General features: G+C 51.7%; 1 protein-coding gene across 7 annotated transcripts in view, besides 1 other annotated feature; it reads left to right on the top strand.

Annotated features, from left to right (window-relative positions):
• The window catches only part of GFRA2 (GDNF family receptor alpha 2), a 121,948-nt gene that overhangs the window by 82,824 nt on the left and 12,081 nt on the right, over positions 1 to 27,043 (top strand). For all 7 annotated transcript variants that reach the window (XM_047421687.1, XM_006716327.4, XM_011544484.3 and 4 more), the window contains 3 exons: positions 23,481 to 23,590; positions 24,397 to 24,537; positions 26,545 to 26,717. In XM_047421687.1, the coding sequence (XP_047277643.1) occupies positions 23,481 to 23,590; positions 24,397 to 24,537; positions 26,545 to 26,717 (424 nt within the window). The remainder of the gene's footprint in view (positions 1 to 23,480; positions 23,591 to 24,396; positions 24,538 to 26,544; positions 26,718 to 27,043) is intronic.
• Positions 2,062 to 2,563: an enhancer, noted in NCBI's record as "H3K27ac hESC enhancer chr8:21584471-21584972 (GRCh37/hg19 assembly coordinates)". NCBI's record gives its function as "activates a minimal SCP1, AML or CMV promoter by ChIP-STARR-seq in primed H9 embryonic stem cells {active_cell/tissue: H9 hESC(primed)}" and the evidence as "EXISTENCE:reporter gene assay evidence [ECO:0000049][PMID:30033119]".

Here is a 27,043-nt window from a genome sequence, read left to right as displayed (position 1 = left end):
AAGTGCGAGGAAGGGCAGGGGGGCGTCTCCCAGGCCCAGCTTTCACTCTCTGAGACCTTCTTCCCCTTGGGGATCTTTTGGAGAGGACCTCAGCCACTCCCTGTGGGCCTGGAGGGGAGGGGCAGCCCTGCTCCCCTGTAATACTCAGGTCCCAGTGGGAATGCCTATCCACTTTTAAAGAAAATTTATATAGAGACAGGGTCTCACTCTGTTGCCCAGGCTGGAGTGCAGTGGTGTGATCACGGCTCACTGCAGCCTCAAGCTCCTGGGCTCAAGTGATCCTCCCACCTCAGCCTCCCGAGTAGCTGGGATTACAGCGTGACCCAACACACCTGGCTCCTGTCAACTTTCTAATGCCCCACAGCTCAGCCAGAACCAGGCGGAGAGGTTTATGACTGCTAAGTAAAGGCCCAGGGAGACAGAGATGAGCAGAGAGTCACCTGGGCTGCCTTGTTTTCCAGGCCTGGGTTGGCCCCGTCCTGCTCTGGTCTTGAACTGCCCCATGTGGTGGACACCACTGCGGAATCTGCCACTCGGGCACAGGCCTAAATGCCCGATTCTGCTGTCCAGACCCCAGACAGCAAGGCTGCAGAGGAGAACTACCCCCTCCATCCAGTAGTACTAAGGTGACCCTGAGTGAGCTCTTGTGTGTTAGCCACGGTGTCACCATTTTAGGAATTTCCATGTCAAACCGTGCATACGTACCCTTTATAACCCTTTGAGGTCCCCACTCTTAGAATTTCTTTGTGTTCAGATAAGGACGCAGGATTAGAGATTTTAAGGGACTTGCCCAAGGTCACATGGCTTATGATAAGGTCGAGCAGAAACTTGAAGCAGGGCCTATTCTGAGGGCTGCATTGTCCATGCATCCTGCACTTTCTCTCCAGATGTGGTCCATGGACGCCACATCTCCATCCATCATGGTGCTTATGAAAATGCTAGTTCTTGCCTGGGTGCCGTGGCTCATTCATATACTCGCAGCAGTTTGGGAGGCCAAGGCGGGTGGATTACCTGAGGTCAGGAGTTGGAGACCAGCCTGGCCAACATGGTGAAACCACATCTCTACTAAAAATACAAACAATAGCCGGGTGTGGTGGTATGTGCCTGTAATTCCAGCTACTTGGGAGGCTAAGGCAGGAGAATTGCTTGAACCCGGGAGGCAGAGGTTGCAGTGAGCTAAGATCACACCACTGCACTCCAGCCTGGGCAACAGAGTGAGACTCCATCTCAAAAAAAAAAAAAAAAAAAAAAAAAAACCTGGTTCCCGGAGTCTGTGGAAACAGAATCCTTGGATGTAGGGCCCAGGAATCCAGTGTGTCCTGGGCTCCCTGGGGAATTTTGTTCATGGTGAGGGTTGAGAACCACAGTGGGCGGGCACACCCTATGGCACTGGGGCCCGTACCTGGAATCAGTGCTGTGTGGTGGCCTGTGGACAGGGAGTCCAACAAACTAAATTACTTTCTACCATCTATTAACATGTGCCTAATGTATGTGATGAGGAGTTTATTTTCTGACGTCGCCCCTGCCTGTGCATTTTCTAGAACTCTTCCTATGGTAGAAGGAGTGTGCCTGGGCTGAAGGGCGGCCCAGACTCATCTGCACGGTGCATCTACACACTTTTGTTTTAATATCCAGCTGGCATTTTTACTACGAAAATAACCCCCGTTTGTTTATCCTCTGGAAAATAATCAAAGTATTTTCCGTGAATCCAGACAGTCCCTGGACATGGGCTGTCATTGCGGAGAGACCGCGGTGGTAAGGAGAGGACAGATGATTGGCCTGGCCCTCAAATACCGAGGGAGGCCCAGCGGGGAGGCTGCCGTCTGCGGGCAGACGAGGAGCAGTAGCGTCCAACCCGCTGTTTTGGCGGACTGTGGCCTGTCTAACCCTGGTCCGGAGCATGCCTGGCCTTGGGGAAAGGGCACTGGGAATCTAGGAACCCGAACCATGCCTTTGGTCATCCAGCCTGTCTCCTGGGGGGGGCCGTGATGGGGAGGTGGTGTCCAGGCGTGGAGCGCTGAGGCTCAAGCCCCACAGACTTCTGCCCTGGCAGAGCGCTTGGAGGAGAGGAGCACACTGGGATCTGTGCCCCAGTGGGTCACACAGGGCCCAAGGCCTGGGGACTGCACTTGAGGGACCCCCAATCCTCTGTTCTTACACAGAGGAGCCCCTAGCAGAGGCAAGGGAGGCCCTGTCCCTGGCTCCCATGGGAGGTAGGGCCCAGCTCCAGATGGCAACAGAGCCTGTGACCCTGGAGAGCGAAAGCCTGTCCTTGGAGGAGTGACCTCTCAGTCTGGACACACAGAGGGTTCAGCCTGCATCTGAATCAAACTGGGGTGAGGGAAGTGAGATCAAACACCTCGTGGGAACAGAAGGGGAATGATGAGTGTAGTGGGTTGAATAATGTCTCCCAACATTTATGTCCACCCGGAACTTCAGAATGTGGCCTTTGTTTGAAAATAGGGAATTTAGGGCTGGGCACGGTGGCTCATGCCTGTAATCCCAGCACTTTGGGAGGCCGAGGCAGGTGGATCACGAGGTCAGGAGATCGAGACCATCCTGGTCAACATGGTGAAACGCAGTCTCTACTATAAATACAAAATTAGCCGGGTGTGGTGGTGCGCGCTTGTAGTCCCAGCTACTTGGGAGGCTGAGGCAGGAGAATTGCTTGAACTGGGGAAGTGGAGCTTGCAGTGAGCCAAGATCAGGCTACTGCAATCCAGCCTGGGCCACAGAGTGAGACTCTGTCTCAAAAAAAAAAAAAAAAAAAATAGGGTGTTTGCAGATGTAATTAAGATAAGATCATACCACATTAGGGTGGGCCCTAAATCCAGTGGCCAGTGTCCTTATAAGACAGGAGGACACACAGAGACACAAGGAAGAAGATGGTGAGATGATGGACACAGACGCTGAAGTGGTGCAGCCACAAGCAACGGATGCCGGGCGCCACCAGAAGCCGGAAGAGGCAAGGAAGGGCCCCTCCTTGGAGCCTTCAGAGGAGGCAAGGCCCTGCCAACACCTTGATCTTGGACTTCTGGCCTCCAGAACTGTGAGAGAACAAACTTGTGTTATTTTAAGCCACTGAGTTTGTGGTAATTTGTTACAGCTGCCCTAGGAAGCTAGTGAGGCGGGGTCTCCCATGTTTCTCCAGGGGCTGTCACCAGCCAGAGAAGGACTGTCTTGTTCATGTTGCTGTGATCCCTAAGGTGGGTGGTACCTGGCTGCCTTCATGACAATTAATACCCCCTGAGAGCTGGGCAGCAGGGGCTTGGATGCACAGGTGCAGCTTAAGGAAGATCTGGAAATGGGAAGGGAGATTTCTGAGGAAAGGGATAGGAAGTGCGTGGGTGCCAGAGCTCTGGTTGGAGACGGTGGGGTGGAGTCCACCCAGGGTGAGGGATGACTGTGGTGTTCTTGGCAGAGGGAGGTGCTGGAGATAGACCACTGTTTTGAGGGCAGAGGCCAAGTATAAGGGGGCTGCCTCCTTGTAAGGGCCTGGCTTTCCTCTTGGCAGCAAAACCCAGCTCCTAGCTCAGGGGGACACTCAGGAGAGAGCCACAGCGTTCAAGATCAGGCAGCTCTGGCTCTGCCCTTGTGACTGTCACCCCCATCCTGGGGTCTTGCTCGGATTCTGCTGCCATTACCACACCCAACCCCAGCGGGTGATGCTGGATGCATGTTGGAACAGCAGCCCCAACATGTGCATGCCTCTGAGAGGACCGGCGGGCCTTGGGCTTGCACTGCAGAGAGACCTGGGTTCAAGTCCAGGCCCCACACTTCCCAGCTGTGCCACAAGTCATTTAATTGTTCTAAGTCTCGGCTTCCTTCTCTGTAAAGTGGGGAATTTTGCACTACCTGTGTATCTCAGGGTGTTCATGAGGATTAAATGCACTAATGCTTTTAGAGTGCTTAGCAAATGCCTATTAAACACTCAAAATTGTTAGTTATTATTATTTATTTTGAGTTTGGTTGGTCTCTTAGTAAATGTAAAGGCAAGACTAAAAGGAAATAATTATAGAAAACAAACAGCATAAAAATACAGGTTTCTAAAGTACAGATTTCAGCCTGAGTGTCTGGGCTGGCTCAGCATACTGGTGTCTGTCCCCCCGCCCCAGGCTGGGCATTCACTGGGCTTCTGTAAAGGGCTTCTGCCCTGGCCTCTTGCCCTCTTGAAGCCACCGAGGCCCTTCAGCATGCTGTTGCTGACCACAGCTGCCGATTGCTTTGTAGTAGGATCTGGTCTGCAGGTCTCACTCTTTGTCAGGAGCTCGATCAGAACAACCCAGCCCTGAGGGCTCTGCTTCAAGAGGAAGTCAGGAATCTTCTTGGGATGAACTGGTATTAGTTTTGGCTCCTCAGCCTCTCCAGACTGGCTGGTTCTGCTTTGAAGATGGAAGCTTGGGTGACATCCTATGCTCATGTGTGCTGCTGCCCCCTGCAAATCCCCTTCAAATCAATCACTCAAGCAGGATGGGTTTGGGGAAGGTTTGCAGTGTGAGGTGAGTAGGAGGAAGGCCTAGCCGGGAAGGCCAGTGTCCAAGGATTGTGCTGGTGTCCAGGGACTGTGCCAGTGTCCAGGAACTAGAGGACGGGTCCCCATTGCTGCTGGCCATTGCAGCCTAGGCAAGACATCGTATGTGTCCCAGAGAGACCTCCACCATCAAGGACTCTGTATGATGCCATTCCCTGTGCTACCTGTATTTGAGCCTAGGGGTGGGCCTTTGGAGGGGAGGTGTCAAGGGAGCTAACACTTCCCCTGCCAACTCCTGAATGCTCCTGGGATGGGATTATTCTTGGTCTCCTTTATGTTGTTTCTATGTACACGGCCTTGCCATTGTCTCAGGGCCCTGAGTACCTTCATTAAAATGTGAGAATTCACCCCCTGCAGACCCTTTGCTTGCAGATCACCAACCATCTGGTCTCGAATTGCCATTCCCAGTTTGCCTCCTGGTTTACAGGGCTTTGTCTAAGGCCTTCCAGCAGTGTTTTTATCAGTCCATTACTTGCAGACCTAGTACTGCAGAGGAGGCTATCAAATGGCCATTCAAGGAATAGTCCTCCTATTAGCTATGCCACTGGTCGACTTTCCTCACTGCCACAGATTGGCATATATCAGAACTCACGGTGCTCCATTCCAGCGTGGCAATACTGGGAATCTGCTTGCTCTTCTCAACAGCCCCGCACCAACCCCCCAGCAATGTCTGGATGAAAGTCTGCCTGTAAGGACATCTGGTATACCTCCGGTAGGCCAAGGGGCAACGAGATGGAACACCAAGAAACACCAGGCCCCCCACACAAGACCATCTGCAGGGAGATACTGTCAGGCTCTGCTGCTGAGACACGTTACCTATCTGTGCAGGAAGTGGAGGATTGTTCCCTAGAGCCTGGGGTCAGAGGTAGTCATCCTGGTTCACTCTTCTCCCTGCAGATTCTGTGGCTCTGAGGGTATTGTCTCCTCTGTGGGCAGATGGCCTCTCTTGTTTCCTGGTGAGCCTGGGCCATGGTTTCTGGCTTTCCATACACTCTACTCTGCCAGCGTCCATTCCTTCTGCCCTGTTTGATTTCCTTCCCTGGGGCTTGTCTGTTGAGTCAGCCTCTGTCTTCTGCCACCTGCTGTGGGGACTCCCCTTGGTTGACACACCAAGATTGCCTTTGACCTAGCACCCCAGATGCCCGCTGCACAAGCGGGATGAAGGAACTGGAGTTTGTTCTGCAGGAAGTGCTGCATGGCCAATGGTCTTATGGCCAGCCCACTTTCTAGCCTGTTGAGAAGAGGACGAGTGAGTGGTCTTGGCGACCTCCCTCTTGCTGCAAAATTTCCCAGGGGTGTCCAAAAGTCTTCCCAGTGGACCCTGCGGGGTGGAGGGGGGCTGTTCCTTCCACCCACTGGAGAGAATCAGAGGGTGGTGGTGGAACCCTCAGGGGCCTCCTTCTGCCCTGTCCTGGGGTCCTGGTGCCTGGCAAGGCTTCTGTTCATTTATCCAGGCTCTCTGGGGAATCTCTTTTATTTTTTGTAAAGCTCTCTCCAGAAAGCTTTCCTGTGGCTGGGATCTATTTCCTGCTCTCTGCAGTCCCATTGGCCTTGCTGGCCTTCCTTCTCTTCCTGGGTCTGCCTTTTCTTGTGTCTGGATTTAGACTCAGATTTTTCTTCCTTTGGTACCTTGTACTTCTATATCCTGTCTCCTGGCAGAGCCCTGAAGGGTGGTGAGAGAGACCCCAGTAGAAGACATGAAGAACCTTGCCAGATGCCTGAACCTGCTTGTTCTAAGATAAATGCATTCAAACTCTTGATGAACTAAGAGTCTCCTCATTCCTTCTTGCTTGGTGTTAGAACTTTATATAGAAGTCCCATCCTTTTTCTGCCCCATGGGAAGAGTCTACCTGGATGCTTTATCTTTTCCTTGGATGAAGCCAGAGGCTGCAGTTCAAATTCTCAGAAGCACCCGGGTCCTGATGCTCAATTTCTTTACAGCAGAGGTTTTGAGACGGTTGGTAACGAATCCAGAGGGACCCAGTGACTGCCTCCTCTCCCTGGCCTGAGTGGTCTGCTGTGTCCCCTCTGATTTTTATCCAGCCCACTCCATGTAGGGAGGCATTGGTGGGAGGTGATTCATTGCAAGACTGTAGCTCTGTGTAACCAGCCCTGGTGCATGCACTGCCTACATGGGGAGGCCTTGGCTTCTGGGCCATGGGCATGGCTCCCAGTCCTCTGATGTCAAAGGGGCATCTAACGTTGTCACCTGTTGTGGAGTTGGAGGGTAGAAATAGAGAGGACCCATAATTCAGGGATTAGGGAGAGGGCCTCTGACTGGGGGGGAAAGGGGACTCTTTCACTGAGGGTGTGTGGCCACGCGTGTATCGGTTGGAGTGGCAGGGCCTTCGTATGGGTCTGCGTGTGGGGACACATGGGAGAGCTCACTGCATGCGGGCGAGACCAAGGGCCCATGTTCTCTCCTCCCTGGATGCTGTATTCTGTGCACCTGACCTTAAGCTGACAGGTTAGAACCCCACAGTTCATAGATTCTATTTTTTGTAAAGCCCCTTTTGTGAAACACTAACCTCAGCTAAGAGGAAAGAAAGAAGAAAAAGAAAAAGAGCTGAGTTCAGCAGCTGCAGTTTGCTGTATTTTTCATCTTGCATCAGCAAGTTGGGACCACAAATAATCTGGTCTTATATGCTCCAGTGATGCTGCTGTTAAGACTTCACCCTCCTCCTAAGGCGCTATGTTCCTGGGAGCCTGCATGGCTCCCTTCCCTGGCTTCTGGCTCAGGTGGCCAGGAGGTGGGCAGACAGGGCAGGGAGTCCAAGTAGGAGGAAGGGCACAGAGGGGGAAAAGCACTGGCTAGCATGGGGGTGTGTAATTAATTTCTGAATGGTTTCTGGGATCAGCTAAACATTTCCTTTTAACCGGTTACCCCCAGCCTCACATCCTTTGTTAGTTCAGGAAAAATGTCATTTATAATAGACATTGCCTTGATAAATTGCTCCAGAGAAGCACAGCATTCTCATTAGTCTATATAATGAGAAAGACTCCTAGTGGTGGCATAGCTGCCCAGATATTTGCCTGATAGGAAAAATATTTGTCTACGCAGTTTTCTCTAGAAGGCTTGGAATGGAGGGCCCAATGCCCCCTGAAGCCTGTGACTCCGAGAATATATTTGCCCTGTGCTTTTTTAGAGCAGAACCCAGCCATGCCTGGTCCTCCCTGCTTCCTGGTGGGTCTGGGATGTGGTGGGCAGGCTCCAGCCCACGGTACTCACATGAGTCTCTTTCTCCCTGCTTTGCGTCCTGTGCTGAAAGCTGAAGAGGATTTGGGTGCAATTGGACTGCCTTTTTCTTATTATTCCCAAGAAGAAAGATCATAAACAGGTATACAGCCAATTCTATTTTTCAGAGCTAGTTTTGCATAGGGTGGTTTGGTTTCATCTCCCAAACACTCTTTTGTGTGGGTATCACAGCCACTTAGGCATGGAGAGGTGCAGCGGGCGTTTTGACCCAAATCCTCCTCCTCGTCTCTGACTTCCTTTGCCCTTCTGCGTGTTTGAGAATGGACACTCTACCCAGCCTTCCTCCACAGGGACCCACTGGATTCTCCTCTGTAGGTCCCCAAGGCACTTCTTCATGTTAAGAGTGGTGCTTAAGGATGTGTGTTAATTCTCGCAGGCCACTGGGGCCTCCTTTAGTGAATGGCTGTTATCAGAGAAAGCAGAGACACTTTTCCAAGTTTCTAACCACCAGTGGGCAGGATAAGAGGAAGGGGGGAAAGGCAGACACACTGGAGGGCATTTCTGGGAGCTGAACTATCTTGGTGCTCAAGTTAATGAAACATTGATACATTTTGCTTTGCTGCTAGCTGAAGATCTGCCTATAATTTTACTTTTCAAGGGGAGGTGTTAGGAGAGTTCTTAGATCTCCTGCTGCTTAGAGAAAGTCCTCCATGCCTCCAGACACAGTCCCAATCAATCAGTCCCTTCCCTTCCCTCCCCTCCCTTCCCTTCCCCTCCCCTCCCCTCCATTTTTTTTTTTCTTACTAATTCTCTTCCTCCCTCCATCCGGTGGCAACTGAGTCCCTTTTGAGTGTCAGGCATTTCTTTGGGCACTGAAGTTTTAAACATGAATAAGATGGTTTCTATTCTGAAGGAACTCATAGCTTAATAGGAGAAACAGATATGAAAAATGTAAGTTATGATACAGTGATGCCAGTGCGATAACTGGAGTTTGTGAAACATGATTAGAGTTGGGACAAGGCATTCAGAGAAGGTTTTCTGGAAGACCTGGTACCTGAGGTGGGTTTGGAAGGGTGAACTGGAGGAAGTTTAAGGAGAAGGCTTTCTCAGCAAGGGAAGCAACACAGGACCAAGGCATATGAAACGTCACGGCTGGGGAACGTGTGTGTTTGAAGTTGCTATAGGGTTGGGATGGCAAAGAGGAGAGATGAGATGGGAGAGATCAGTACATCCTGATCATGGATGGGGATCAGGGTGGCAAAGATGGGTTGTGGAAGCCCAGGGACTTCTCCTTCAGGGACTTAGACTAGAAATACACAGGGCTCCTCATAACAGCCAAGGCTGGCATGCCAGGCATGGTCCCTGGTACTTCTTGGGAATCTCGGTTACTCTTCCCAGAAACTCCTTGCCCCCTTTTATGGATGAGGAGCTCAGTCACAGAAAGGTGAGTTGGCCTAGGCTATACCCTTTGTGACTGGCAGAGCTGGGGCTTGAACCCAGGGGATTTGGTGCCTGGAGTCTTGCTCTCAGCCACCGTGCTTCCTGCCTCTCAGAAGAAGTTCATGCTCAGCCTAAAATGCCACTGAGTTTAGGCCAAGCATTCATCTCTGACTTTTCTCCATACGTTATGTGTCAGGAATGTGATTTGATGCAAGAATCTCTCTGAATCTTTGTAACAATATGCCGTGGAATAATAGGGTTTGCATGGATTGTGAGGCTGAGAAACACATTCTGTGGAAGTTGAAGGGAGAGGCAATGTTGGGAGTAACAGAATTGGGGAGGGGGTCTGGGTCTTTGAGTAGGAGGTCTTCAGAATTGGGAATGGGAAGAATGAAGGCTGGAGCTGCTAGAACTAAGAGCAGAAGAACTTGGCTAATGAGACTTCAGTTGTCAGGGTCTTCGGACAAATTACTGGTCTAGGAAGAGCATTTGAGAGAGTGACCACTGCAGGGGCACCTGCCACCCCCTTCTCAAGGGAGTAAACCTGGTGCTTTCTACTCATGAGCAGGAGGGAGGGGAAGGGTGGGGAGGGAGAAAGGGAAGAAATCCATCCTCGTACCACCAGCAAGAACCGTATCAGCATTCAGAGAAAGTTGAAAGAAATCTTTCAGCTGGCTGGCTACCTAGCTCAAGGCTAACCACACTCTTAACACAATAATAAGTCATCCTCACTGAATAATTAAATAGAGAGCCTTCATAAGTATTGACTTAATGTGACAGCAAGTCTATAGTGACTCGGGGTTTGCTTATGTAAACACAATCTCTTGTTCAGCTTACTTAGCAGTTCAATGAAATAGAACAGTCCTTCAATTAAAATCAAATGATGCATACGTTTAATTCTTTCTCCTCTTGCCGAGTAATAAGAGGTTTGGAACATAGGTGGAGGGATTGGGGAGAGAAGTGGAGAGAAGGGGATCTGCCCATCTGCTTGTGTTTTTGGAGGACGTGAAGGAGTGTATCCAATGGCGGTCTCAAGGAGAAGGATGTGGCCTTGGCTCCCATCTCTGGGCCCTGTGGGAAGATCCACGTGGACTTGGGTTGGCCTCTGTCTCATCTAGGCCCTCCTGACCCTGTTCCAGAGCAGACTTGGACCCCCTGCTCTGGGTGGCATATTGGTCTCTTGTTGGTGGCTGGGGTCTGATTGATTGCTTCTGGTCAGCTGGGGTTCAGTGCTCCAGCCACAGCCCTCTTAGGTCATTTCCCATGGTCACCTTCATGGCTCCCCCAGAGGAGAGAGGGGACACTGGGTGAGCTCCAGGCTGGATGGCAAGGGGGGGCCAAGGAGGCAGGTGGCACCACAGTGACTCCCTTGGATGGCTGCAGGAGAGAAAGAAAACTTTATTCTGTGGCTTCAGGACACTGGGACAGGGGGATGGGTAGGGGGCTGGGCAGAGTTGGGGGCTGGGGAGAGCACGGCAGAAGGGAAAAACCAGAAAACCCACTGGCTTTGTGGCTAGGATTTGAACCTAAGTCTTCTGGCCTTGCTGCTGTGTTGTGAGTTAATTAACCTCTCTAGGGCTCTATTTCCTTAGCAAAATGGAGCAATGATTCCAATGTCAGAGAACTGTTCGATTACCACTCAGTGATGGTAACGAACCCTTGTTGCGTGGCCCTATGCTAACAGAGGAGGTGCTTGTTAATAGGTCAGAGAGAACATGGCCCTTTGGCTTGAAGGGACATAGCTCCTGCCTTCTACATGGTGTCTCATGCTAAGGATTGGGTGGTGGAGCCTCCTAATGTTAATCACAACATCAGTGAGCATTGAGGGAGTGCCCACTGTGTTGCAGGCACTGTTCACACACATACGCACATTTGTTCACTAGGTATTTCATTTAATCCTTGTAAGGACTGTCTATTAGTCTGTTTTCACACTGCTGATAAGGACATACCTGAGACTGGGCAATTCACAAAAGAAAGAGGTTTAACCGGACTTACGGTTCCATATGGCTGGGGAAGCCTCACAATTATGGCAGAAGGCAAGGACGAGCAAGTCACGTCTTACATGAATAGCAGCAGGCAAAGAGAGACAGTTTGTGAAGAAAAACTGCCCCTAATAATAACCATCAGATCTTGTGAGACTTACTCACTATCACGACAACAGCATGGGAAAGACCTGCCTCCATGATTCAGTTACCTGCTACTGGGTCCCTCCCACAGCATATGGGAATTCAAGATGAGATTTGGGTGGGGACACAGCCAAACCTATCAGACAGTATGCAATTAAGTAGCATTATTACCTCCATTTTGCAGATGAGGAAACTAAGGCCTCCTTTAATTACCTGCTCAAGATCACACAGCCAAGAGTTGCTGAGCCAAGGTTCAAACACAGTCAATGTGACTTTAGAAATTGGATCTCATGGCTGGGTGTGGTTCTGTGCAGGGTCTAGGTAGAGGGGTTCTTGAAGAAGTCAGGACCTCTTGTGGGAGGAGATCAAAGATTTCTACTTCTAGCAGCCCCCCTGAGGTCTTGGTTGTGTCCTGAAGGGTTTGGTGGCCATTTCCCAGGATAGCCCTAGGCTCTTTCTCCAACCTGCAAGTTCCTAGGATCTGGAGCAGCCCAGGAAAGAGTAGCCAGGTCTTCTCTGAGATGGTGGCTTTTCTGTCTCAGCCACTTTGTCTTAGGATAGACAGTCAGTTGAATTTGCTGAGGCTTCCAGAACCCGTAACATTTTCTCTAACAGAAGGCTTAGAGAAATCATTGTTTATAATAACTCTGGATTCCTGAGGCCTAGTTCAATTAAAGTTAAAGAAATAATTACAATCATAAGGCAAGTTTATTAAAAATGAACATAATGAACAGTGTCTTCTATTAGCATCTTTTGAAATATACTTCTGAATCTTGTTGGTTCATAACTTAACATTTTCTCCATTTGTAACCGGGGGGCATAAACTCTATTGTCTCCTGCTTTTTAACTGCATATCATGATTTCATGTTTAAATTTTCATACATTGACACGATCTACATCCTTGCCATTTTGATAGCAATGTAGCTTTCCCTGGTGTTAATGTCTGTCTGATCCGTTCCTTTCAAGTTAAGCTGGAGAAATAATCCAAGGCCAGTTCTGTCTTCTTTCATGAATTTGATCATCATCTGTCTTCGGAGTTGCTCTCCTTGAAGTGCTCCTGTTACTGGGAAATATGGGAATTCTTGATTCTTGTATAACTTGGGAGAAAGAATTCAGCCAAGTGACGCACAGTGAGGGTTAAGCAGCAGAGTTTCTTGAAGGAAGATAAAGTAAGCTCCAAGAGAGCAGCCGGCTGACCTGGCTGGAAAAATAGCAGTAGCAGTGTTTATTTAAAGAGACAGCACACTTTGAAGGACAAGACCGAGCAGGCTGCTCAGAAGAATGAGCCAGCAGCAGCTAGTGCTGGGGGACTCTCTTAATGAGAATCTTACCTGATTATTCCTGAAGGGGCGTGAGGTGTTGTTATTTGCAAGCATGTTTCGGGAGGTCCTTTGGGCTAGGGTTGTGCTTGCTAGTCTACGTGTTACATGTCTCATTGGCATTGAAAATCTCCATGCATGGCTGTGTTTTTTTACTATTATAATGAGCAAAACTCTCCTCGTGGGCAAATTATTGGAGGCGTATGCATGCTTGTCAGTGGGGAAAGTCCCATCACGTTTATCTCTGGCTGTGGCATGATAAGTCCCCTTTAGTGCTGGAGGAGCCCAATCTCAAGGCCAGAAGTAGACAGTATAGCCGTTGTCTTTTCTGCTGAGTGTCAGTGGGCAGCATCTCCAGGACTTCATTTCCCAGGGGCCCCCTTGCCTGCCTACTTCTGGCCATCTGCCTACTCCAACACTCCTGCAGTCCTGGCTCTTTTGCTTGGGCTGGACAGATCCTTTGTGGGTTTTGTTTTTGGCCCACGTGGCCTTTCTAGTGTGTGCTTCTTCTGATTGCTTAGGACCTGGACAAAGGAGGTCATGCAGAATTAGAGAGTGACCTAAATAGTAGTCAAGAATGTTTCTGTCTTTTTTTTTTTTTCTTTGTTTCCCAGGCTGGAGCGCAGTAGTGTGATCTGGGCTCACTGCAACCTCTGCATCCCAGATTGAAGTGGTTCTCCTGCTTCAGCCTCCCGAGGAGGTGGGATTACAGGTGTGTGCTAGCATGCCTGGCTAATTTTTCGATTTTCAGTAGAGACAGAGTTTTGCCATGTTGGCCAGGCTGGTCTTGAACTCTTGACCTCAAGTAATCCGCCTGCCTCTGCTTCCCAAAGTGCTAGAATTGCAGGCGTGAGCCACCGCGCCTGGCCGAATGTTTCTGTTCCAAGTGACAGAGACCCAACTACCTTAAGAAAAATAAAAACAGAATCAATTGGCTTACATAATAAAATATAGGAAGGGCAGAGGAGAATCCCAGGGACTCATGTACAGATAGGTCTTGGTCTCTCTCTCTCTCGTTCTCTCTCTCTCCCTTGCTTTTCTTGTACCTTGTTTCTGCTTCTCCCTCCGGTTAGCTGCATGTGTATTCTTATTAGGATTATGAGGCTAGAATTGTGGTTCACATCTGTTGTATCTTAGAACCAAAAAGAAAAGCATGTTTTTCCTTGCCTGCCCCATTAGGAAAACTTTAGACAAGGACCCTGTTGGGCCCAGCTGACATTATTTCCTTATCTCTAGGCCAGTGTGGCCAGGAGAAAGGGGTGCCGTGGCTTCCCAGCCCAGGTCATGTTTCCCCCTGGGCCCAGGAGGTGGCATACAGCCTTTAATAGAACCACCTGGCCCTTGGGAGGCCAAGGCAGGTGGATCATGAGGTCAGAAGTTAGAGACCAGCCTGGCCAATATGGTAAAACCCCGTCTCTACTAAAAATACAAAAATTAGCCATGCGTGGTGGTGCGTGCCTATAGCCCCGACTGCTTGGGAGGCTGAGGCAGAAGAATCGCCTGAACCTGGGAAGCGGAGGTTGCAGTGAGCCCAGATCACGCCATTGCACTCCAGCCTAGGTGACAGAGCGAGACTTCATCTCAAAAACAAAAAACACACAAAAAAACAAAACTATCTGGCCCAACGAGGAAGTCCTCTTCCCCAGCCCACCCCAGGGGAGCTGCTGTTCTGGGCAGAAAGAATAGTAAGTATCCACTGTACAGTTAAAGAATAAACAGGAAGGAAGGGAGCCAAGTTGGTCCTTGACTTCATGAAACCAGTGGTGGCAGGAAGACACTGGAAAGGATGGAAGATCAGGTTGTCCACAGTGAGCCCTGGAGGTGTGGGAAAGCAGCCATGTGGGTGACATTCATTTTCCCTTTTCTCAGTGTCACATCACATTGAACCCACTTAACCAAGGCCTGCACTGCCAGAGGGGACGTTAGAAAGCCATTCCAGAGGCACTTGGGGCTATTAAGGCCATTTTCTCCACGTTTCCATAAATTGTCTATGAAACCTATCATGAGTAATTTGCACTTCTTGGAAACCCTTTTTTCCCTCCATGAAATATTCAAGTGCCCCATTCCTTTGTGTCAGGCAGTGCTGGTGGCCGCCCTTGTTTGTGTCAGCCACCGTACCTGGCCTGGTGTGCTGGCTGCAGGTTGTGTGACTGTGCGATCCAGCCTTTCTGAGCTTCTGTGTCCTCATTGTGAAATATGCTACTTCGTGGGATTGTTCAGAAAATTAAATGAGATAATAGCGCCTGACACATAGTAGGTCCTCAGTAAATGTCAACTCCCTTTCTTCCCCCTCCTCTTTCACTTCTGCAACCAGGACAAACCTGGTTTCCATGGAAGTGACATAACAGGTATCACCTGATAAACGAGAACTTCAGTCAGGCCTGGAATTCTAGCACTTTGGGAGGCTGAGGTGGGTGGATCACTTGAAGCCAGGAGTTTGAGACCCCCTGGGCAACATGGCGAAACCCTATCTCTACTAAAAATACAAAAAAAATTAGCCAGGCATGGTGGTGCATACCTATAATTCCAGCTGCTCCGGTGGCTGAGGCACAGGAATTGTTTGAACCTGGGAGGTGGAGGTTGCAGTGAGCCAAGATTGTGCCACTGCCCAGCCTTGGCGACAGAGTGAGACCCTGTCTCAAAAAAAAAAAAAAAAAAAAAAAGAACTTCAGACCAGTATGTATTGATCAGCACTGGAAAGTTTTGGGGATCCCCAATATTATTCTACATCAGACAAATTTGGGAAAGTATGCTCTTGGGAAGGTGTTTACAGCCTGGACCAGGGGAGGTTTTATTAATAACAATTTCCTGTATACTTCCTGTTGGTGAAGACCAAAGCATAGTGCTGGGAAGTATGTATCCAAGTGTAACTGTGTGTCTCCGTGGCGATAGGTGTGTGTGTGTTTGTACACAAACACGTGCACTCTTTGCCACGTAACTGTGGGCTTTCTCTGGCTGTGGCGCAAAGCACTGCTTTTTTTTATGGGTAAGCCATAAAGTGTGGATATTTAAAGCTGAGACTAGGAGGTGAGGTCTGAAAGGTACCCACAAGCCCAGCTCTGAAACCTGTGCAGGTGGCCACATTCTCAAACTTCAGCCTGCCTCAGAATCCCTGGGAGGGCTTGTTAAGGTGCAGATTGCTGGACTCTGCTCCTGGAATTTCAGATATTGCTTGTCCGGAACCAGGCAGGGAGATAGGGTGGAGCTAGAGAATCTATATTTCTAAGAAGTTCCCAGTTGATATGATGCTTTTGGTCTGCGGACCACACTTTGAGAACCAGTGACCTATAGAAAGTCCACCTGTACCCACGCAAATCTAGATGACTTCTGCTTGTGTGGCTTGATCTTTGCACACTCAGCCCTGCTCTCTTCCCCTTTGCTGGAGGCTTATGTATTCATCAAGTACTGTTGCCAAGCTGGGTGTGGTGGCTCACACCTATAATCCCAGCACTTTGGGAGGCCAAGGTGGGTGGATCACTTGAGGTCAGGAGTTTGAGACCAGCTTGGCCAACAAGGTGAAATCCCATCTCTATTAAAAATACAAAAACGAGCCAGGCATGGTGGCGCACACCTGTAATCCCAGCTACGGTGGGTGGGGCGGGGGTGCTGAGAATCACTTGAAATGGGGAGGTGGAGGCTGCAGTGAGCCGAGATCGAGCCACTGCACTCCAGCATGGGCAAAAGAGAAAGAGTCCATCTCAAAAACAAAACAAAACAAAACAGAACAAAACAGAGTTGCCAGATCCAACAAATAAAAATATTGGATGCCCAGTTAAATAAATATTCTGGATAAAAAAGAAAAACTGGCTCTCCCTCTCCCTCTGCCTCTCCCTCTCCCTCTCCCTTTCCCTCGTCTCCCTCTCCCTCTCCCTCGTCTCCCTCTCCCTCTCCCTCGTCTCCCTCTCCCTCTTTCCACGGTCTCCCTCTGATGCCGAGCCGAAGCTGGACTGTACTGCTGCCATCTCGGCTCACTGCAACCTCCCTGCCTGATTCTCCTGCCTCAGCCTGCCGAGTGCCTGCGATTGCAGGCGTGCACCGCCACGCCTGACTGGTTTTCGTATTTTTTTGGTGGAGATGGGGTTTCGCTGTGTTGGCCGGGCTGGTCTCCAGCTCCTAACCGCGAGTGATCCGCCAGCCTCGGCCTCCCGAGGTGCCGTGATTGCAGACGGAGTCTCGTTCACTCAGTGCTCAATGGTGCCCAGGCTGGAGTGCAGTGGCGTGATCTCGGCTCACTACAACCTCCACCTCCCAGCCGCCTGCCTTGGCCTCCCAAAGTGCCAAGATTGCAGCCTCTGCCCGGCCGCCACCCCGTCTGGGAAGTGAGGAGCGTCTCTGCCTGGCCGCCCATCGTCTGGGATGTGAGGAGCCCCTCTGCCTGGCTGCCCAGTCTGGAAAGTGAGGAGCGTCTCTGCCCGCCCGCCATCCCATCTAGGAAGTGAGGAGCGCCTCTTCCCGGCCACCATCCCATCTAGGAAGTGAGGAGCGTCTCTGCCCGGCCGCCCATCGTCTGAGATGTGGGGAGCGCCTCTGCCCCGCCGCCCCGTCTGGGATGTGAGGAGCGCCTCTGCCCGGCCGCGACCCCGTCTGGGAGGTGAGGAGCATCTCTGCCCGGCCGCCCTGTCTGCGAAGTGAGGAGACCCTCTGCCTGGCAGCCGCCCCGTCTGAGAAGTGAGGAGCCCCTCCGCCCGGCAGCCACCCCGTCTGGGAGGTGTACCCAACAGCTCATTGAGAATGGGCCATGATGACAATGGCGGTTTTGTGGAATAGAAAAGGGGGAAAGGTGGGGAAAAGATTGAGAAATTGGATGGTTGCTGTGTCTGTGTAGAAAGAAGTAGACATGGGAGACTTTTCATTTTGTTCTGTACTAAGAAAAATTCTTCTTCCTTGGGATCCTGTTGATCTGTGACCTTACCCCCAACCCTGTGCTCTCTGAAACATGTGCTGTGTCCACTCAGGGTTAAATGGATTACGGGCAGTGCAAGATGTGCTTTGTTAAACAGATGCTTGAAGGCAGCATGCTCTTTAAGAGTCATCACCACTCCCTAATCTCAAGTACCCAGGGACACAAACACTGCGGAAGGCCGCAGGGTCCTCTGCCTAGGAAAACCAGAGACCTTTGTTCACTTGTTTATCTGCTGACCTTTCCTCCACTATTGTCTTATGACCCTGCCAAATCCCCCTCTGCGAGAAACACCCAAGAATGATCAAAAAAAAAAAAAAAGAAAAACTGTTTAGCGTAAGTATTTCCCAGATATTATGTGGGACATACTTATGCTAAAAAAAGATATTCATTGTCTGAAATTCAAATGAACCTACACGTTCTTCGTTTAATATGGCAACCTTTTCATCCAACTGGGGGTCAAGTGTCTCTCTCTCTCTCTGTCTCCTGCTGCTGCTTTCCTGCAACTGAACAGGCTACAGCTGCCAAGGAAACACGCCCAGAGAGGGTTTGTGTTTTCCAGACAGATCCACCTGCTGCCCTGAGCTCACTTGGCAGACTTAGCTTGGTCTCAGCCGAGATGGACTTGGCTCCTCTTCATTTTGGTTCTCTTGCTGGCTCTCTGTTTTTTTCCTATCTGTTCCTCTCTCTCTTTCTCTCTGTCTCTCATGCCTTCTTTTATACCATCTCTCTTACAAGGGGTTTAAAAGGCAGGAAACTGCAAAGTGATAGGGCTGATCCAGGAAAAGTCTGTTCTCAGCAGCAAGACCAGAGTCCAGGAGTGACCTCCTGGTGTTGGAGGGAAGAGTGACGTTTGGTCTAGAGAAGGCACAGAGATCACCAGCAGCCTTGTATTATGAAAAGCATAACATTTGCCTTGGAGAAATTTGCCTAGCAGTGCTGGGGCGAGGGGTCATGGCTGGAGTGGGACAGTGTCCAGGGCTTCAAGGAAATTATACCACGTGGTCTCTGATGCTGGCAGAGGGAGCCCACTGCTGTGGACTTGATCACACGTGGAGGGGCAGAGAGAAACTTTAGCAATCAAAGGCCTCCTGGAGCCTTGGGCTTGGACTCTGTGTCCTCCTAAATAGCTCCATTTGTCACTTTATCTTGCCAAGGCTGCTGGACGCTGAGGATGGCGCAATGGAGGAACAGAAGGCTTAGCTGCTTCTCTTCACTTTGCCGTACGCTTTGCTGTCTGCCGGGCTCAGGCCTGTGTTCTCCCCCTCCGTTTGCTATGAATAGCTCTCCAAGGCCCTGGCACCAGCAATCAGGCCTGCTTTGAAAGAAGTAGGTCATAACCTCAGAGGAGTGAGGGGGTGCTCTTGTCAGTGGTCACCCGGGGGCCTAGCCAAGGGGCCCTGAGTGCCTTGCCCTGCTTTGAGGGCTGTGTGCCTCTTCCTGTGTCCCCAGCATGGCATGGAGAAGGACGGTGGGGTCAGGAGGCCCTGGTTTCCAGCAGGCTGGGGTATGGTAGAACAGGAGAGCGAGAGGGAGCCCCGTCTCCTTGATGCGCTCACTTGCCCTGTGTGGGACCGAGATCCACCTTGCAGGATAAGTGGGTCTGTTTTTCCTTCTGTATCAGACGCCAGGGAAAGCTGTTCCTGCTGTGCACTTCAAGTGGCAGGCACAGCGCTAGGCAGAGAAGGAAGATGAGGATGGTGCCTCCTGTCTCCATCGGGCGCCTGCCATTCCAAGCGCCCTCACTCATTGTCTCCTTAGCTCTCTGTCGCAGCCCAAGGCGGGAGGTTGGCAGGTGTGACTCTCCCTGTTTGTTCACTGGGGACACAGCCCCAGAGACATGACAGGCCAGCCCAAGGTCACACAGACAGCGAGTGAGAGATGGAGCGTGGCCATGCGACAGATACCCACTCCTTCCCCAGTGGCTGGGTCTGCCCCTCCCCTCTTCCCTGAGGAGTCCCTCTGGCCAGCCCCACCTGGGTCTGGATGCTTTCACCTTCTGTTTCCTGGCTGGCTTCCTCTACTCCCGCCTCTCTCCCTATGGCCCTGCTCTCCTTGTGGCCCGTCAGGGAAATATTTGGGATTTCCCAAAGGGCAAAGGAACAGGAAGCCATGTACTCCCCATTCATGCTGCTGTTCCTTCTCCAGCGTGTGGGGCTGGAGGCATTTGAGAAGCTGCATGGATGGTGAGGCCAGTCGAGGTCCTGAGGGTTCCCAATGTCAGGGATGGGAGAACTGGCCTTGCGGGAGGGAAGCAAGGCTCCCTGTGCACTGGGTGGGAACTGGCATTGCCTGGGAGGCTCCCAGTACCTGCAGAGAGTGTGTGGGCCCTCTGGTCTGCTGTGGTGGGCAGTGTGCTCCCCAAGGGAGATAAGCAAGCAATGATCTCCCACTGCCCCAGTCCCTGGCCCCCAGGCACACTACCCCGGCCCCTTAGCTGGAGTTTCCTTTCTGATGTTGCGTCCACGCTTGCCATTCCCATCTTTTGTCTGTTAGCCACGCGGCAGGGCTCGATGTGTATTTGGAGAAAGGATGCATGGCTATCTACACCTGCCCAGAGGAGCAGCTGTGGAGGATATGGATGAGGAAATCAATGGAATCTGCCACTCTGAGAATGTGTGTTCTAGTTGGAAAAACCCAGTAGGGCAAAATCAGGAACTGCTCATGCAATGAATCTTTCAGTTGCCTGGTCCAGGCTATGTGTGTGTAGCTAGAATATGGAAACGGAAGAAATCCACACAGCTAGGTGGGAAGGGCTTCATGGGGAGGGACTGGTGGGTCAGGAGAGAGCTGGGCCTGATGCATGACGGCCTGGCGTTAGAATGGACTCCTGCATTAGAGCTAAGGCCTGGTGCTTGGATGCCCTTTGGTGGGGAGAGGATGGGAACCAGCGGCTTTGCTCATTATCCAGTGGCCTCCTTGTCCCACACCCTGAAGGAGCTAGGTCCTGCCTTTATCTTCTTGCCCACCTGCAGCCCACTCCGGTGTTCGGACCTGATCATATCCCCTTAGCTTCTTCTGGAGGGAGACATTTGGCCAAAGCAAACAGTGAAGTCTTTGAAAGGGCTGCATTCATTTCCTGGGGCCGCTGTAGCAAAGTACCACAAGCTGGGTGGCTTACAACAGAAGTTTATTCTTTCACTGTTCTGGAGGCCTGAAGTCTGAAATCAAGGTGTTGGCAGGGCCATGCTTTTTTCTGAAGGCTGAAAGGGAGTCTGTTGCATGCCTTTCTCTTTCTCTTAGTTTCAGGCACTGCTGCAGCCCTGGGCATTCCTTGGCTTCTGGCTTCATCACTCCTATCTCTGCCTCTGCTGTCTCATGGCGTTCTTCCTGTGTGCCTATCTCTTCTCTTCTGATGAGGACACCAGTCATTGGATTTAGGGCCCACCCTAATCCACTGTGACCTCATCTTAACTTGATTACATCTGCAAAGATCTTATTTCCAAATAAGATCATGTTTATAGGTCCTGGGGATTAAAACTGCAACTTTTTTTGTGGGGGACGTATAATTGAACTCAACAGATTTTGTCTCTAAATCCCATCTACCTGTTAAGAGTCTCTGTCCCCTCTCAAGCCACCTCTTGGATCTCTGGAGGTCTGGGACATGAATGGAGACTCCCACCTTCCCCTCTCATAGCACTCTCTCTCATTTGCTGGCTGCGGAGGGGGATGGATGTGGGTTTTGACATCTAAGATGGAGTTGTCTCCTGCAGGGGTGAAGGATTGCTTGGAAATGCTGCTGCTGCTTGTTTTGAGGAAGCAGAGGGTGCATTTATGGGCAGAAGAGAAGGCAGGGATAACTGCAGATTTCCTCCTCGTTTCCTGTGGAAGACATTGCTTTCCTGAGGTGCAGAATGATGGCTCTGGAAGGGCCTTCAAGGGCTCCAGGCCCTCCTGCAACACAGGAGCACTGGGGCCTGCCAGAAATGGTGCCCACCTTGTTGGAGCTCTAGACTTGAGTCTTGGCTCTGCTACTCAGTGACTCTGTGATCTTGGGGGCAAAGTTGTTTAGCTTCTCTGAGGCTCAGCTTCTTCATCTATAAAATGGGATAATAATAACTGCTTGTCAGATCTCACGGAGCATTTGTGAGGGTTAAATGATAAAAGATGGATATGAAAGTACCTTTTAAACCATCATTGTGGTAAAATACACATAACAGAAAATGCACCATGTAAGTGTATAAGTCAGTGGCATTAAGTATATTCACATGGTTCCGGAACCTTCACTGCCATCCATCTCCAGAACTTTTTAATCATCCCAAACAGTTAAAGTGCCTTTTAAAGTGCTAATTAGAGTACTTTTTATTCATTTGATACATAAGAAACTAGAGTCCCGGAGAAGCAGGGAACTTGGGCATGGTCTCCCAGTGAGTTAGGGCAGAGCTGAGCTGACTCTTGGTTTGGTACCCATGGCCTTCTCTTAGCCTGCAGGGTCCTGGGGCACATCCCAGGAGGGTTTCCTCCTCTCAGAACCATCCCTCAGGATCGCGGGGGCCTCCAGAGAAACGAATTTGTCCAGTGGTGGGACATACTCAGCCCGTGTCTGCATGGTGGGGGCCCCCTCAGCAGGCACCAGCACCTTCCGGTGGAAAGCCTGCATTCTCTCTCCTGGCTCAGGCTGGCTCAGTCCCTCTCAGCCTTCTGTCTGTCTCTCCTTCTACCTGTTCCTTTCCCAAATGGGACAGGGTTCCAGTGGAGAACCAGGGGAGCTGAACCTGTGGTGAACTCGGAGATGGCTTCATGAGGTGCTATATGTGCAAAGGATGTGGTCAAGGGATTTGGGTGACCTGGGTTCTGGTCCATCCTGCAGCTAGCTTGTCGAGTCACCATAGAATTCTCATGGAGTGCATGGCGACTGAAGTCCTACTGAGTTCCCATCATTGGGAAAGGCCCGTGAACAGACCTTATTACTAGCTATTTGGAGCTGCTGTGAGACATAGTTGATATGATACATGAGGGCTGTGTGTGTGGCAAAGGACACTCACCTGTAGAAGGTGATGATTGTCACTTGACATGGCAGAGGGGGAGCATCCTCCCCCAGCCCAGGCTGTTGGTAACATTCCTGGCCAGGGCCCAGGGCAGGAGGAAGAGGAAGGAATGGAGATGGCCATGCATATTAGACTTGGATTCCCCATGTTCCATGGAACCTTCCATGTCTAGGTCTGGAGCTGAGGGCTGGGGACAGACCCAGCTCAGACACTGTCTGCCTTCAAGTGGCTCATGGCCCAGTGGGGAACATAGAGCTGTGCACAAGGAGTTTTGATGCAGTGTCATCGATGCTGACAGAGGGGAATGGGTGGCGGCGTGTTACCGTCACCAGGGGAAGGGAAGGCCGCTTCTGCCTGGTGGGACTAGGGTAGGGGTGGAGGGATGGCAGAGGAGCCTTTGCTCTGGCTTAATGCAGAAGAGACCAGGGGAGGATGCCCGTGGCATGTCTCACCCAGGGAGACTCTTTTGCCTCCCTGGCCACTGGCTTCCTTGACCCTCAGATAGGTCCTATGAAGCATCTAGGGAAGGGACTAGTCACCTGTTTTGCTGGTGGGATTTTGCAGTGCCGGGTTGAAGGACTTGGGCAGGCTCATCCAGGGCTGCAGCCTCTCAGAAGGTGGACCCAGCTTTCCTGCCTGGGGTCCAGGCATTCTCCACAAACCCACCCGGCTCCAGCCTAAAAGAGCCATTTAGAGCAGGCTGTTTCTGTGCCTTGAGGGGTCCTTTTTGTCAGCCAATGACTGGGTTTTTCTTAAGCCGCACTATGTGCCTGTCTCTCCGGGAAGTCTCTGTCCTCAAGAAGCTCACAGATTGAGCCCCCACAAAGACTTGGTTCCCCCGACTTTCCTCCCCTCCCTCTTCCTGGCTTCTTCCACCCTGGGAAGCTGCAGGGAGGAGATGCCACTGGCAGGACAGAGGAGACAGAAGGCAGCTAGACTGAACCCCTGTTTTCTCTATTGCGTCTTCTACCCACCACCAGGTCCCGGCTGGCCGACTTCCATGCCAATTGTCGAGCCTCCTACCAGACGGTCACCAGCTGCCCTGCGGACAATTACCAGGCGTGTCTGGGCTCTTATGCTGGCATGATTGGTAAGCTCTTCCTGCTCACCTGGGCTCTGTGGGTCCTTGCTGCCCCCATCTCAGCAGGGCAGGGGCCGCAGCCCAGCTCAGGGCCAGCTGGGGGAGACAGCCTGAGCCCGGCCTTCTCTGCATCAGATTCAGAGAGCTGCGAGGGGAAACCAGGGGAAAGGCAGTTTTGTAACAAGGCGGAGGACCTAGCTCTTTATCATGGGGGAAGGAGGGCCCCAGGGGCCTCCTAAAGCTTTTGAGAAAAGAAGCAAAGGTAACATTTATTGCATGGTTCTGACATTCCAGGCTCTGCACTGAGCAGTTTACACGGACTGTCTTACTGAATTCTCCCAACAGCTCTTGCTAGCGGGGTGCTGATAATCTCCATTTTATAGATGAGGAAACTGAGGCTGTAGAGCAGTTGAGTGACTTGCACAGTCTCACCTCGCTCATAAATATCGGCACTGGGGTCTGATCCCAGGATGTGAGCCTCATTCACCCTGATTTGAGAATGTTGGCTGCTTGCTGGTGAAGGACAAAGCAAGGGCCCACACTCTGGGAGGGGCTCCAGGGCATCTTCTCTGCCTTCCTGGTGGCAAGGAGCCCAGTGTCCTCTATGCTGCTGGCCCCTCTGCCCCTGCTGAACATGGTCCCTGGGATAGTCATGCTCAGAGTTAGGAGTGCGATTGGGATGGATGTGTGTTTTGGGGCCAGGTCAGAGGATGGGTACCACGCCTCTGCCCTGCTGTGCCTGGGGTTGGTCTGTGGGCCCAAGGGGAAGGCCCCACCGTACCTCTCTCCTCTCCCCCACCTTTCTTCCTGCCCAGGGTTTGACATGACACCTAACTATGTGGACTCCAGCCCCACTGGCATCGTGGTGTCCCCCTGGTGCAGCTGTCGTGGCAGCGGGAACATGGAGGAGGAGTGTGAGAAGTTCCTCAGGGACTTCACCGAGAACCCATGCCTCCGTAAGTTCTGGATGTTCTCCCCAACCCCAGCAGCCCCTCCCACCCCTCCTGGAGTCTGTCCTAGCCATTCCCATCTCCTTCCGTGGGGATGGCTGGTGATGTAGATGAGGCTTCTCCGCCATGGGTGTTGCCCGTGGGGACCTTGGGTTTTGAGCTTTTGGAGATTCACACCAGAGCTGTCAGTAGGCCAGCCTCAGTTTACCACCAGAGGTCTTGAACCTATGTCAAGCCTGTTATTTGGTCTGGTTTGTTATTGGGACAGCTTCAGCCAGTTTCCTTTGGAGACTGAGCCCTCTCATGAGGATCGCTGGCATCTGTCATGTCTCCCTTTAACGAGTTTATTTCCCCCTGGAATCGACTTCCTTTTCACATCGTCAAACTCCTAACCCAGAAGCCAGAGAGAGGTTAGCCACAGTCTAGCTCAGTCTGCCTTTGATCTTTCCAGCCCAGCACCCATTGCCATCCATGCCCACCTGAAGATTTCTTCCCTCTTTCCTTCCCTCCATTATTTATTCTGTCCATCTCTCCATCCTTCTGTTCCTCCCTCTCTGTGTGGCACTAGAGATTCAGGGATCCAAGTCATCGAGGAGGTGCCTGACGGAGGTAGACTGAGAGGGGTCACTTATGATCACAGTGCAAGTGAGCTGCTCTGGGCGGGGGGTCTGCACAGGGTTCTTGAGGAGCCCAGGATGGGGATGCCCAAGTCAGCCAGGAAGAGGGAGGCCCTGAAGGCTTCTTGGAGAATGTATCTGTGGATGGTTAGCTGGGCATCGGTCAGTTGAAGAGGCAGGGGGCGCCTGCCAGTCCACCCTGGGCAGAGGTCCTGGGCTCCACAGAAGACCATGGCGGGTGGAGGGAACTGCCAATCACGTAGCCTTGCTACATAGCACTGAAGATGACCAGAGTGGCAAGAGTTATCTGGACAGGTAGATAGCATCCTTGTCATGCAGGGCCTTGCAGGCCTGAGGCATTTAGATCTTCTTGTCCTGCAGGGGTGACAGTGGTACTGTGGGTGTTTGAAGGAATGTCAGCAAGGGTGTGAGATCAGATCAGCATTCCAGAAAGTGAATCTGCCTGTGTTGTGAGGCAGCGGGAGTCAGAGTGAATCAATTCTGACAGGTGACCTGACACAGAGAGGCCCATCAGAAGGCCATAGTAGCTGCTCACAGGGGCACACAGTGGTGGCTGTGAACCAGAGCAGTGGGAGGGGAACAGCGATGGGAGATGGGGTGGAGGGATCTTTAGGAGGTGAGCTCAGCGGGCTGCCAGTGCTTGTGCAGGGAGGCACCAAGGGTGACCCTCAGGATTCTGACATGGGGGACCAGGGTAGATAAGAGATGATACCTTCAAGGCTGCAATATGAGGGATCAAAGGGAAAGGAGCGTTGACAAGGGTAGGAGGAGACGCCTAGCCCAGGCTTAGACATAACGAGTTTGAGATGTGTGTGGCTCGTGGAGGCGGAGATTTTCTGGGCACCTCTCTGGATGGTGTGGGAGGAGCAGAGGCCACCCAGGGAGAGCCTGTGGTGTGGAGTGGGCAGAGGGCTGAATGTGGGACCCCTGCATGCCAGGGTGGGGACCTGGGAACATCCGAGGAGGCACAGGGGCCGGAAGAGCCTGTGACTAGGGAGCTGGGGGTGAGGAGCTTTGGGAGGTGTGGCTGGTGGCACCATGCAGAGGAGGTGGCCCCCTCCTCCCCTAGGCTCCCCTGCATCCCACCCCCTTCTTTTTCTCCTTTTTTCTTCTGTGTTCCCCATCATGTACACTTCTTGCTATTCTGGCTTCTGTGTTTTTTAACCTCTCTCTTGCTATATTCTGTAGCTGTGAGACCTTTGTAGGTATCTGAAGAAGAGGTTCAGCAGAGGGAATCTGGCTGTGCTATGCCCTGTCCTGGCTTCTGGACCATTCCAGGGAAGGGGGTGGTCAGGGTGAAGAGTGTGAGGAGCAGGGACAGGAGTGACGGACGTGGGTTCTGACTTCTCTGCATCTGCCCTCACCCCCATCCCAGGGAACGCCATCCAGGCCTTTGGCAACGGCACGGACGTGAACGTGTCCCCAAAAGGCCCCTCGTTCCAGGCCACCCAGGCCCCTCGGGTGGAGAAGACGCCTTCTTTGCCAGATGACCTCAGTGACAGTACCAGCTTGGGGACCAGTGTCATCACCACCTGCACGTCTGTCCAGGTGAGGGTGTGTGGCTGAGGCGTGGGGGGAGCACCATGGCACCGGAAGTGGCATGGGAAATGACTCAGCTGAGGCCAGGGAGGGAGGGTCCTCCCTTTGGATCAGGGACCCAAGAGGCAGGGAGGAGCTGCCGGGGGTCATTCTTCACCAGTTCCTTTATTTGGGCATTCATCTTGCAAGTGTTAAACCCCTGTTACATCACAGTGTTATACCTGCTTTGCAGGCTATAGGGTCTGAAGAACAGGCAGTGGGGCACAGCCTCGGTGCAGGTGCAGGGGGAACAAGTCCTGGCTGTGTGTGGGGCAGTGAGGCACCCGTCTGAGTGG

This window comes from Homo sapiens, chromosome 8 (genome assembly GCF_000001405.40).
Source record: "Homo sapiens chromosome 8, GRCh38.p14 Primary Assembly".
NCBI lineage: Eukaryota > Metazoa > Chordata > Mammalia > Primates > Hominidae > Homo > Homo sapiens.
The sequence above is the reverse complement of the archived record's forward strand: the minus strand, read 5'-3'. Positions and strand labels throughout refer to the sequence as shown.